Below are 13,475 nucleotides of genomic sequence, written 5' to 3' on the forward strand. Positions count from 1 at the left end.
GTACATCTCCTACAACGTGGATGCATTTTAAAAGTTTAGTCTTGAGCCAAACCAAAAAGTATGAATCCAAATATGAAGATCAAAAATAGGCAAAGCTAAGCTATATTGTTTAGGGATGATATTTAGATTCAGTCAAACTATAGGGAAAAGCAAGGAAGTGATCACCATAGAAGTCAGACTTGTGGTTCTTTGTGGGAGAGGAAGAGGCTGTGGTCAGGAAGGGACATGAGAGAGGCTTCTGGGGTTCTCTTTCTCAGCCTGGATGGTAGTAATGTGGGAAATTAAATCTAATACTTTGCTAACCCAGACATTGTTCTTTCAGTGTGTTGTATTTTGCAATAAACAAAATACAACACACTGAAAAGAGACTTTCCATTTTCTCCTTAAGCACACTTTAAGGGGAAAACAAAGGTGGTCTAGGAAGATGTTTAAAGACATATGATACAGCTTTTCTTCCTTACTCACAAGCTAAAAAGCTGCACTTTGGCCAAACAAGATGAGGGGGTCGAAGCATCAGCTGTGGCCAGCGTGCCGTGAGAATCCCACCTGTGAAGCAGCCAGCAGATTCTGAGCCCCTCAAGAGGGCAGGTGGGATCAAGGTTCAGCTAGAAGCCCCAACTTTCCCCTGGCTCTTCTGGGCAGAGTGAGTGATGCCAGAGAGCCCAACTTCTCGGAATGCCTGGGCTGTGCTGCTAGGAATCAGAACAAGTCCTTGGGAAAGGCAGCCAAGATCTGGATTCTGCCATTCTGGTTCCACTCCCTCCTATGACCGTGACCTGCTGTGGAGCAGCAGAAGTTCCCCTCCTTGTTCAGCTCCTCCATTACAGGTGCTGGTTCCAAACGTCTCTGGACTCAGGATACTGGGTCAGAGGCTGGGGCTGGGGAGGAGCAGTTGGATGCCTGGATCCCAAGAAGGAGGTTTTTTGAGGCTAGGGTCTCTGGCTAGGGAGAACCATACCTGACATTGCCACTGTGCCATAGCTGCCTAGGGCCGGGCAGGCTTCCTCCTGGGATGGGGTGGGGTGAGGAAGGGGATAGACGATCGTCCTGACTGGGTCAGCTCTAATACGTTCTTTGCTTTCCTGCCCCTACAGCTCTGGATTCTTCACAACCTCATTCAATAGTAGTCAGTGTTTTTCAGGTATCCAAACTTTCTGAGGCTCAGTTTCCTCATGACAACAACATATATCGTTTCTTGAGCATCAAAGATGGGTCAGGCAGTGTGTTTGGGACTTCCTATACCATGCCTTTAATCCTTGCAGAAAGTTGACACATACCCATTACATGGCTTCAAAGGCTGATGGACAATCTCCATTTTAAAAGCAGGAAACAGACTTAGCAAGCCCAGTGCACAGTCACCAAGTGCAGAGCCAGGACTTCATTCCTGACTTCATTCCTTCATTCCAAAGCCAAGCTGCCTATGTCCCCATCTGTGAAGTGGGGCCAGCTGAGGAGCAGGGTTCAGGAGCAGACTTTGTGGAGACTGGCACGTGGCTGATGGATAGTAGGTGCTCCCATCCCAGAGGTGTGGCAAGTGCCAGGTAAGCCTGAGCACTAAGAAGAACCACACTGAAGTTGGGCTGAGACTATTTCCTGCCCTGCCTTCCTTTGTGAAAATAAAGCCAAGCAAAGAGGAAGATGAAAGAATCCACCCTAGCCTTCCTGAGCCCATTTCTCATTCCCAGGGGTTTTGAACCCCAATCCACTGCCCCCATTCCCAACCCACAGTGGTCCTCAAGGCTCTCCAGCACAGGTCCGTCACCCACCCTGCCTCCTCTCAGGAAACCCAGCTCCCTCCAAAGCGCCCTCTGGGCCTGGGATGCCCTGAGCAATGCAAGCTTTCTTGCCTGCTTTCACGTGGTTCAATTTTCCTTTTTTTTTGGCTCAATTTTTTTCTGCCTCAAGTTTTCTACCTCAAGTATTTCAAAAATTAATTTTTTTTTCTTTTCTTTTTTTTTTTTTTTTTTGTGGAGTGGGTGTTGAAAGAATCCTAAACTTTCTTAGCCATTCTCTGGACTGAGCTATAAACTCACAAAGCAAGGATTGCAGGCTCTGTGAGGCTGTGATTGCCAGAGGCAAGGCAAGAGAAATAACAAGCCGTGGTCAGTCCTCAGCTGGGGCCTCTGATGGATTTCCTCCTGTCTTGCACTCATAATTTCTTTCTGAAGACCATGTTTTCCACCCACACAAACCTGAGCCTGAGTATCCTCACAATGGTTATAACAACATATATCAAAATTGAACACTAAATTTGTGCCAGGAATTTATTAATGGAGAAACCCCGCCTCTACTAAAAATACAAAATTAGCCGGGCGGTGGTACATGCCTATAATCCCAGCTACTTGGGAGGCTGAGGCAGGAGAATCACTTGAACCCAGGAGGCAGAGGTTGCAGTGAGCCGAGACTGTGCCATTGCACTCCAGCTTAGGCAACAAGAGCAAAACTCCGTCTCAAAAAACAAAACACAAACAAGAAAGAAAACCCAAAAAACAAAAAACAAACAAAAACCCATAGATGGTACAAAAAGTGGAAGAAAAAGGAAAAAAAAACCCATGAAACTATCTGCAATGCAGTTTCCTAGAATCAACCACAGTAATCTTTTAGCTTTTCTCTATCTAAATGTTATACATATTTTATATTTATATTAAGTGCATTTATATTTATATTAAAATACAGATACAAATTTAAAAACTCTTTATTATTAAATTTTCAAATAAAAAGCAACTTTTCAAATAAAAGCAGCGAGAACCTCCTTATACCCAACACCTGGCTTCAACTATTAGCAACCCATGGTCAATATTTCCTCTATTTCCCACTTAATGTCTCTACTGAATTATTTAATTTCACCCATAAACACTTGTGTGCATCTCTAAAAGTTAAGGACTCTTTTTTGAAAAAGACTTTAATACAATTTCTCATCTCAAAAAATTAGCAATAATTCCTCAACAGCATCCAGATGCAATTTTTCATGCTTTTTTCAGTTAGTTTAAAATCATGAGCTTTTCTCCATGTCTCTAAAATGTAATTACTAATGCTTCTAATACTATTCCACCAGGTTGAGTGTATTATAAATGATCTGATCACCCCTTGCCTCCCACTCTTCCATCCCCTTGGACATATTTAGGCTACAACATCCCCAGGAAAATGGTTTCCATTGTCTGCACGTAAGCAAACAGGCATTATTAACCTATTAGCTGTCCACTGCTCCACCCCACCCACAGGTACCCAACTAGTCCTGTGCACCTACCTGGCGTGGACTGCCAAGGGAACCTCTGGATCTGCCAGTCAGCCACCCTGTCCTGCTCAGACTTTACCAGAGACGAGTATTTCCCTTTCCTTCCCTCTAAGAGCATTTTATTTGCAGAGTTAGCCAATAGTATCTTGTTTCCTGTAAGGGAGACTATCTTTAGATGCTGCCACAGGCAAGCTCAGATACTCCAGGGTGGAGGCCAGCTGCCAACAGGAGGGCCTGACTTTATAAACCTGGAAGATCTAAACCTCAGGGAAGACTGCGGAGCTGGAGGGAGAGAGGTGCCACTTACCCCAACCTGGAGGTGGGGGGCAGGGAGCAGGCCCTGCAGTCAGCAAAGCACAGCACAGTCAGCTCTCATTAATGGGGAGCCTTCAGGAAGCTGGGAGAGCTCATGGGGCCCTCAGCTTCCCTGCCCACGAGAGGGAGCCCAGAGTACTCACTGGACCACACTGGGGCACACACAGCTCTTCTCCTCAAAGTGCAGTCCCAGGCACTGGGAGCTTATTAAAGACAGCACCTCAAGCCCTGCCCTATATCTGCTGAATTAGAATCTGCATTTTAATGAAATTCTTAGAAGAGTGATATGCATACTAAGTTTGAGAAGCTTTGGTACTGAAGGCATCTAGTGAGTACCTTGCACCTTGTAGATGCTCGGTAAATATTTTTTTCCTCACCTCTCTGCCCCAAGGCATTTAGTGGCTCCCTATACCCATCAGTCAAGGCTGAGGACACAGCTTTCACCCAGGACCTGGCCTATGCTCCTTTCACAGTCTCTCCCCCTGCCACTCTTGCCCTGCAGTGGGGAGCCTGGTGGGCTCCGGCATCCAGCCATGCTTCTGCTCCCTGGCCTGGCCAGCTTGGGGCGACTGCAACGTGAATCTCAACTGCCACTGCCTCATCACCTTCCGATCACTTCATTACCTGCCTGACCCCTGGCATATGCTATATAATTCTGATCCATCCCTAACTAGGGCCTGGCCCATGGTGGCCTTCAATACACCTTCATTAAATGGTCTGTGACCCCTTCAAGGCCCCTCTGGCCCCTTGCTGCCCACATCCCAGCCACATCCGGTGCTCCCTTACCTCTAGTCGCTGTGGTGTTCCGAGGACAGCGGGTGCTCTGTGTGCTCCCCACCTTGCCCCTCCTCACCTCCCCCAACCCCAGGACAGAGCTGGGGGCTGCAGTGCAGTGCTGCGGGCTTGGTGGCCTGCTCATGGTGGAAGAAGTCCACCAGCAGTTTTCTTTCTTTGTTCTTGGTCTCAGTGTTTGGCCACCTTTCCCTGCCTTTGGCCAGAAGGCCACAGGACAAAAGCAGAGTCAGGCCGCTCCCCATCCACTTTCTGACACTGGCCCCTCCCCACCCCACACCACCCCTTGATACCTCTCCTGGGGTCCACTCAGCTGGGCTGGCTGCCTCAGCCCCTTCCTTGCCTCTGACTCCCCTCCTCTTCTGAGGGCTCCTTTCTTGGATCTGGCCAAGACTCTCCCTCTCTTCCTGTCCCACACTCTTGACGACAGTCTCATCCACCCCACATCAGTAATCCCCTCCGTGTTCATGAGCACACATCTCTACCTCCATCCAGGGCCTGGATAATTTCCCAAGCCCATCTAACCTTCTCCGTTCTCTGTCTTTCCTCTCACCACTTACCCCACTGGCCATTCTCCACCCAGAAGCCAGAGAGCTCTTCCTGAAATCCAAGTCTGCCAACTTAAACGCCTCCAGGGGTTCTCTCATCCTGGTTTAAGTCCACGGCCTGGTAAGCACGGCCCGCCCCTTCTCACTTCCTACTGTGCTCTCACCACTTCCACTTCCCCCAACATGCCTGTGCCCGTGGCAGGCTCTCTTCCCTTCCCAACTCACCTGGCTGTCCTGTCCAGGACGTGATTTTACCCTCTTTTAAAGCTAACGGCTATGTTCCACAGCTGCTAGCAGCACAGGGCTTCATGCTTGGCAAGCATGAGAACCAGCGTCCAGTGTCAGTTGCCTTGCCCCCAAGCCCCACAGAGTGATGCCATGGCTTGGATAGATACCTGTGAATGTGTGAGGGATGGGGAGGTTATAGGAAGGGAACTCTGACCTTGGGTAACGTGCCATTTTATAGCAAGCAGTAAGCAAGTCGGTTATTTGGCCCTGAGCGAGATGTCAGCTCATCCTTCAAGGTTGCTCACTGCAAACTCAACCCTGCAAGATGGACCAAGTGAAGAGCATTAGTGCTTTGCATTCTTGACACACTCATGGAGACAGAAAGAGCCTTGGCAGCCTTCCCCCTCCCTCCACGCCTCCTTGGGCCTCTGTAAAGGAGTCTCTGGCTCAGCGCTGGGAATTCTCTCCTCCCTGAACTCTTGTTCAACCCCTCCCCCGTACTCTCACTCTGGTACAGCCTTATTCCTTAGATCCCCGTCTTCATCTCTCTTTCTGCCCAGCCCCTTTGGCTTCACTCTCTGTTGGAGCTGACCCTTGTTCACAAGTTCTTTGTCATTCTGCATTTCTCTTCCAGTTGAGACAGTAAATGCAGAGGACAGTTTGGTTTCTGCTGGGCAGAGAAATGAGAGTGTGGTGGGCTGGCTCAAAGGCAGGAGGCCAGACAGAGAGGCTGTGAGGATGGTGGGGACACCCTGGACAGTGATGGGTGTCCCCACCCATCACTGCAGGCACCCATCACACAATGCAGGCAAGGACTGGAGACTTGGTGTGAATAAAGCTTTGTGGGAATGTGGGGTAGAGATGCAGAAAAGGAGAGTGAGAATGTGATTCACCTTAATTGCCAAACCAAGATACTTCCATGTTCTTCTGTGGGCCCTGGAGAAATTTGGGAATAATTACATAAGCAGTTGTGCAGCACTAGGTCTGCCTGAGGCAATGTCCTAAGTCCTCGATGTACATGAACTCATGTAGTGCCCCCAGTGACCCTATGATGCAGGTGCTAATGTTTTTGTTTTTGTTTCTTTCAGACAGGGTCTGGCTCTGTTATCCAGGCTGGAGTGCAGCCACATGATCATAGCTCACTGCATCCTTGATCTCCTGGGCTCGAACGATCCTCTCACCTCAGCCTCCCAAGTAGCTGGAACTACAGGCACACATCACCACACCCAGCTAATTTTTGTATTTTTTGTAGAGACAGAGTTTCGCCATGTACCCAGGCTGCTCTTGAACTCCTGAGTTTGAGTGATCCTTCTGCCGCAGCCTCCCAAAGTGCTGGGATTACACGTTTAAGCCACTGTGTGTGGCCGCAGGTACTATTATTATCCTCATCTTATATGTGAGGAGTTTGAGACAAGGAGGAGAAGTTATGTAACTTGTACAAGACCACACAGCTCATGTGTGGTAGGGCCAATATTTGAACTTAGCATTGAGGTTTTATGGTCTATGCTGTGCATTCTTAGTAGAGGTGGTATTACTTCCAAGGTGGCGAAAATTGGTTCTGGAAGGTTCTTGTGCTTTATGTATAAAACACAGATATACATATAGTAGCTAAACCAATAGCATATCTGTGGAATAAAATTCCATGGTAGGGGGAGGTGAGTAAGAATGTAATGTGGGCCAGGCATGGTGGCTCACGCCTGTAATTCCAGCACTTTGGGAGGCCAACGTGGGTGGATCACGAGATCAGGGGTTCAAGACCAGCCTGGCCAAAATGGTGAAACCCTGTCTCTACTAAAAATATAAAAATTAGCCAGGCGTGGTGGCGGGTGCCTGTAATCCCAACTACTTGGGAGGCTGAGGCAGGAGAATCGCTTGAAACCGGAAGGTGGAGGTTGCAGTGAGCCGAGATAGCGCCACTGCACTCCAGCCTGGGCGAAAGAGCGAGACTCCATCTCAAAAAAAAAAAAAAATTATATATATATATATATATATATATATATATATATATATATATATAATGTGGTTAATAGGCACAAAAAATACTTAGAATAAATAAGACCTAGTATTTACAAGCACAACAGGGGCACTATAGTAAAAAAAATTTAATTTACCTTTACAAATAACTAAAAGAGTATGATTGGATTGTGTGTAACACAAAGGATAAATGCTTGAGGTGATGCATACCCCATTTCCTCTGATGTGATTATCACACGTTACATGCCTGTATCAAAGCATTTCATGTAACCTACAAACATATACACACGCTATGTACCCCGCCACACACAAAAGAATATAATATCTAAAAGGACTTGTTGGGGAGTGATTAAAAAAAGCTGAGAAACCATTGTCTAAGTTTTTTTTTTTTGTTTGTTTGTTTTTAGACAGGATTTACTCCCATCACCCAGGCAGAAGTGCTGAGGTCCGCCTCCTGGGTTCAAGCTATTCTTCCACCTCAGCTTCCCGAGTAGCTGGGATTACAGGAGCCTGCTACCACATCTGGCTAATTTTTGTATTTTTAGTGGAGATGGGGTTTCACCACGTTGGCCAGGCTGGTCACGAACTCCTGACCTCAAGTGATCTGCCCACCTTGGCCTCCCAAAATGCTGGGATTACAGGCGTGAGCCACTGCGCCCAGACAAGAAACCCTTGTCTAAGGTCTTAATCAGACCACTCTGCTACCTCCCAGTTTAAAGTCTGGGGATTAGAGGGTGACATGACAAAAGTAGTCTCTTCAGAAAAATCAATCAATGGGTGGGTGTGAGGGAAACGGCTGCATAAAAGGGAAGGAAAAGACGTACATCAAGGACTTCTCCATGCCAGGCCCTGTGCGAGGCACATTGTCCATTATATCTCTTTTTTACTTTCACTTTCTAGTCAGGTATTATTTTTTCCATTTTCAGATGATGAAATGGGGAGAAAAGAGCAATGAGTCCTAGGCCACACAGCTGAAAAAGGGTCAAGTCAGGATTGGAACTTCCTGCCCAGATGCAGGCAGGGAACAGCAAGAGGGGAGCCAAAGCAGTGGGTGGTGGAAGACGGAGAAGGGATCTCGCTACAGGAAAATGCATAGAATTGTAAAGGACCAGACACGTTGAGGGTCAAGTGAGCATCCAAAGGCTGTGTTGCCATTGACAAGTCGAAAGCAATATGCTGGGAGATTTCAGAAGCAGAAAAAAAGTCTCTCTTTCCTCTTCTACCCTAAGAGGACAAAAGATCTTCTCCCTCTAAGAGGAGAAAAGATCAGACTTAGAAAATTAGAGGCCAATAGAAAATTGGAGGTGGCTCATGCCTGTAATTCCAGCACCTTGGGAGGCCAAAGTGGGAAGATCATTTGAGTCCAGGAGTTCGAGACCAGCCTGGGCAACATAGGGAGACCTCATTGGTACAGAAAAAAAAAAAAAAAAAAAAATAGCTGGGCATGGTGGTGCCGACCTGTAGTCCCAGCTATGGGAGGCTGAGATGGGAGGATCACTTGAGCCCAGGATTCAAGGGTGTAGTGAGCAGTGATCCTGCCACTGTACTCCAGCCTGGGTGAAAGAATGACTCCAACTCTTAAAAGAAAAGAAAAGAAAAATGGAAAGTTGGAGAGGAGTAAATGTAGACAAAGTAAGTGCTATTTACTACCTCCTTCTGTCCCAATGTTTACATTTAACATCATCTGTGGCAATTTTCAGGTTTGTTTCATAAATTCTGCTCAACAGTGATTAAAAGCACTTCCCCTTTGGAACCATAGCAAACAGGATCTGGCAAGGAACTCCAGGAGTACTTAGGATAAACTATTTTTTAGGCATCATTCAACTTTTGCTTTGCAATACTTAAAAATATCTGTCTGCAGACAGTATATGTCATTTTTTAAAAATTAAAAATTAAAAAATCTGCTCTCTCACCAAATATGGCATGTGTTTCCATTAAAGTGGAACTTACCAATGGAAGAATAATGGAAAATGAATAAATGAACTACAATCTTGAATTTTAAAACATGCCCATTTTAGCCCTTTGAAATACACAGGTAATTCAAATTAATTGCCAAAATGTCTTTATATTGTTTGCTGATATTATGGAGAGTCTGCTTTAAAAAATAAGGAAAATAATAGTTGTCTCTCACAAACAGCTTTAAAACAGCCTTTTCTGTCCTCGCTGTACAGATAATATAACGTTAAATAACTAGGGCAATAAAGTATCAGAACTCATGAGTCTGTATCATTGGCCAGATATTGAAAAATAAGCTGCCAGATTAGCCAGCTGGCCAGGGTATAAGTGCACCTACAAGATAACCTTACATGTGGCATTGTATGACTACAGAAGTGACAGGTAGATTTCCTAAACTATTGCTTTCAGGATTTTACTTATTTCAAAGGGTCATTCCAAAAACAAAAGCCAAGGGGCTTATAGTACAGTGCAGAGGTGAGGAACACGTCCAGAGGCAGCCTTGCACTTGCTGACACAAATGCAGCAGGTTCACTGACACGAAGAGACTAATAACAGGTGATCTTATGGATATTTGGGAGCTGCAGTGGATACTGTTTAATATAAGACTATAATTGGGCCGGGCGCGGTGGCTCACGCCTGTAATCCCAGCACTTTGGGAGGCCGAGGCGGGTGGATCATGAGGTCAGGAGATCGAGACCATCCTGGCTAACAAGGTGAAACCCCGTCTCTACTAAAAAATACAAAAAATTAGCCGGGCGCGGTGGCGGGCGCCTGTAGTCCCAGCTACTCGGGAGGCTGAGGCAGGAGAATGGCGTGAACCCGGGAAGCGGAGCTTGCAGTGAGCCGAGATTGCGCCACTGCAGTCCGCAGTCCGGCCTGGGCGACAGAGCGAGACTCCGTCTCAAAAAAAAAAAAAAAAAAAAAGACTATAATTGGACCACAAATGAAGTTGGGGGGTGGGATTCTGGGTCCAGTGTGAGCCAAATTAGCTCCTGATAAACTCTCTCAGTTGGACAAACTTGAATCAAGAATTTTAGACACCTCAGCTACACTTTTTCATCCTTTAGAGGATTAAGTAATCCTTTACCTGAACTGAAACTTGTTTCAAAAGTACAAGATGCAAACATAGCAAAGGCTGTGAAAGAAACATCTGACCATCTACTTTCTTAGCATTCAGAATATCTGAAATAAGCAGATATTTGGCTGCCGTTGTCAATGAAAACTTAAACAGTATGAAATTGTAGTTGTGGCTACAAGTGAATACAGGGAAGCCGGGCTGGAGAGTGTTGCACAGCCGTCAACCTGTGGTTATAGCAAGAAGCCCTTTCTTAGGTACTTTTGTCCATCTCTATTCTTTTATAACAACAACAAAATGGCTGTGCTAAGTAAAACAATCTGTATTTTATTCAGAGCCAGCTTCTAATCTCCTTGACTCTAAAACAAAATATCAATATTTATTTCTGCTTGATCTAGCTGCCAAAAGACTCTTGTCTATATAAATCACACTCACAGTTTTATCTATGTTTAAGGTAATGAAGACCTAATCTATATGTGGCTGTAGAAGGTATTTATTTTGCTGTTTACTGTCGTGCAGATGTAGTTGGTAGAGCAGGTGGTAGGTCCTCAAGTGACCGTTTGGCCAGGAGGGAGTGTTTGGTGTCCAGCAAGCAGTGCTGAGTCATTTCACTCGGTCAATACACTTGGTGATGGAACCTGCAGTAACATTTCAATTTAGAAAGAGCCAAATGGAGATGCCATGCTCACTCCAAAGTTTCTGACACTCTGCTTGGTAAACGGACTTCAGATTGTTTTAGTGCCTTCAGCACATTTATTTTCGACAAATTTGGAATATCCTTGAAACTGAATTGGGCACAAGGAGGTATATATTTCAATAATTTGAATGGGTCAAATGGAAGGTTCACGTATTCTCCTTTCAAAAGTGTTTTAGATCAATGATCAAGATTTTGTAAATCTACAATGTTGAGTTAATTTTACCCACATGCAAAAGAGGCTGAGAGGTATATTTCCTTGAAGCCAGTACATATTCTATAGCTTAAGTGTATGTCTGGGTCCCAGGAAGAAGCTGATGTTTGTTGAAATCACACATTCGGCAACATGGCTATAATTCCTGGATGGTGACATTTCACCAAAGGAAGCAACTTAGGATGTGAATTAAGCAACAGTTGTCATATTCAAAAGCTCACGTATGTGTGTGTGTGAGAGAGATGATTTAATGTGTGTGTGTGTGTGTGTGTGTGTTTTAAATAAGTGAAATCCATCTGTGATTCATATGTGAAAATGTGTCTGTCATTCTCTGGGAACCTAGCTTGGGTTGAATTATTTTTAAACCTCAGTATGTTGAGGCAGAAGTCCTAAAAGGCTCATTGCAGACTAAAACAAAAGTGCCTCTTTATTCCCAAATGAACCATCACTTGCCCCATATACTGCTTAATAGTTATTGGTAATTGCCGCTATTATGTGTCACACTTTTGTACACAAGCAATGCATCTCCAACCTGACCCTTGCTCACTCACTTGCCAGGTATTTAGAAAGCACATGTTGCCTGCCTACCTTCTGCTCAGGGCTGTTTGTTAAGGATACAAAGATGAATAGGGCAGGGTCTCTACCCTTTCCCTTAATGGTCTCGCTTTGGCTTCCACTCTTCCAGGTAGCTCAGGAAACTTAAGGTAATCTACAGTCATCAGATACAGGAGTGAGCTGCCTTGCCTCTATCCCCTGAGCTCTGTCTCCCCCTCCTGGTGTCTCTGGCTCTCACCAGCAACCCCCAGGTCCAGGAGCAGCAGGCGGAGCAGCCAATCAGCAGAGATGGCCCCACCTGGTGGGCAGCCCTTTGGCTTCAGAGCTCCCCTCTGGTTCATTGGTTTTACTCAAAACACTTGGCTTTGCTGACAGTCATCTGTGGTAGCTGCATTTCCCCAGAGGAAGTGGTGTGTGCAGGCAAATCTGGCAAGCCTTTGGGTTACAGTTTTGTGATGAGCCAGCCGGCCCACAATTACCTGGAATCCCACTCTCCTGGTTCAAATCCTGACCCTGCTACTCTCAAGCTGTGTGGCTTAGGGCGAGATATTTCTCTAAGCCTGAATTTCCTTATTGTTAAAATCAGGGCAGGCCGGGCACAGTGGCTCATGCCTGTAATCCCAGCACTTTGGGAGGTCGAGGCGGGCGGATCACCTGAGGTCAGGAGTTCGAGACCAGCCTGACCAACACATCTCTACTAAAAGTACAAAAATTAGCCAGGCATGGTGGCGTGCATCTGTAATCCCAGCTACTCAGGAGGCTGAGGCAGGAGAATCACTTGAACCCGGGAGGTGGAGGTTGCAGTGAGCTGAGATCGCACCACTGCACTCCAGCCTGGGCAATGAGTGAGACTCCATCTAAAAAAAAAAAAAATCAGGGTAAACTTATATGGCAAAGTCGGCATGAGGATTAATGGTGACATGTGTAAAGCACTTCATATGGTGCTCTGAGTAGGGTAATGAGGGTAATAGAAATCTGTGTTCCGGGGATACAAAGAAGGAGCAATCTCTTCCTAAGAGTCTTGGTGGATGCATTCACCTGGGCAGGATGTGCCAGGAGAGGGACCAAGTTGTACAAAGGGTCAAGAGGGTAGAAGAGCCTCACTCATTAGTGGAGCCTCTCAGAGTAGCCTCCTTCTGGGCTCTCTGGAGCTTTGCTGAAGCGCAGCTGTCCCTTCAGAACTCATTGCACTGTTTCTGGTCCTGGTTCCCTCTTACTCCACTTGCTTGGCAAAAATTTCTGAGTGACAACTCCCTTTTCTACTTGAAACTGGTGGGCAATCTTGTCCCTCTCCTCTCCTGAATGGCCTTTTAACTATTCTTAGAAAAAAATTAAAATCCAAGTATATGGACTGAATTATGTTTCCCCCAACTCCCATTCATATTTTGAAGCCCTAACCCACAATATGACTATATTTGGGGATGAGGCCTCTAAGGAGGTCATTAAGGTTAAGTGAGGTTATAAGAGTGGGACCCTAATCCAACAGGACTGGTGTCCTTATCAGAAGAGAGAGACACCAGGGATGTATGTGCACAGAGAAAGGAGGCGGCATCTGCAAGCCAAGGAGTGAGGCCTCAGGAGAAATCAAGCCTGCTGACACCTTGATCTTAGACTTCCAGCTTCCAGAACTGTGAGAAATAAATTTCTATTGTTTAAGCCACCCAGTCTGTGGTATTTTGTTATGAAAGCCCAAGGAGACTGACCCCCAAAGTTAATGTCAATTAATCAGGGTGAAATTATTTCTCATAGTTTGTGGGCTGAAGACCATGAGGAACATCTAGAGTTTAAAAGTTAGGTTTGTTTAGCTTACTGCGGCAAGGGAAGACACATGTCAAAGGAACCAGGGAGCATGTCCTTAATGGGGAGCTGGGGCTTGTGCTGGACACGTC

At 45.9% G+C, this 13,475-nt stretch overlaps 1 protein-coding gene and 1 pseudogene across 5 annotated transcripts in view; one reads left to right on the forward strand and one right to left on the reverse strand.

Annotated features, from left to right (window-relative positions):
- The window catches only part of CX3CR1 (C-X3-C motif chemokine receptor 1), a 29,473-nt gene that overhangs the window by 13,213 nt on the left and 2,785 nt on the right, over nucleotides 1-13,475 (reverse strand). Inside the window, exon 1 of one of the 5 annotated variants that reach the window (NM_001171174.1) lies at nucleotides 4,903-5,029. The exons of 1 other annotated variant lie outside the window; for it this stretch is intronic. In NM_001171174.1, the coding sequence (NP_001164645.1) occupies nucleotides 4,903-4,989 (87 nt within the window). In that variant the 5' untranslated portion in view covers nucleotides 4,990-5,029. Of the gene's footprint in view, nucleotides 1-3,247; nucleotides 3,331-3,542; nucleotides 3,736-4,336; nucleotides 4,568-4,902; nucleotides 5,030-13,475 lie in introns of those variants that run through there. 3 more of the 5 variants (NM_001171171.2, NM_001171172.2, NM_001337.4) reach the window with 3 other exon arrangements.
- ADAD1P1 (adenosine deaminase domain containing 1 pseudogene 1) lies at nucleotides 10,028-11,192 on the forward strand (annotated as a pseudogene).

Source organism: Homo sapiens, chromosome 3 (genome assembly GCF_000001405.40).
Source record: "Homo sapiens chromosome 3, GRCh38.p14 Primary Assembly".
In the NCBI taxonomy this organism is placed as follows: domain Eukaryota; kingdom Metazoa; phylum Chordata; class Mammalia; order Primates; family Hominidae; genus Homo; species Homo sapiens.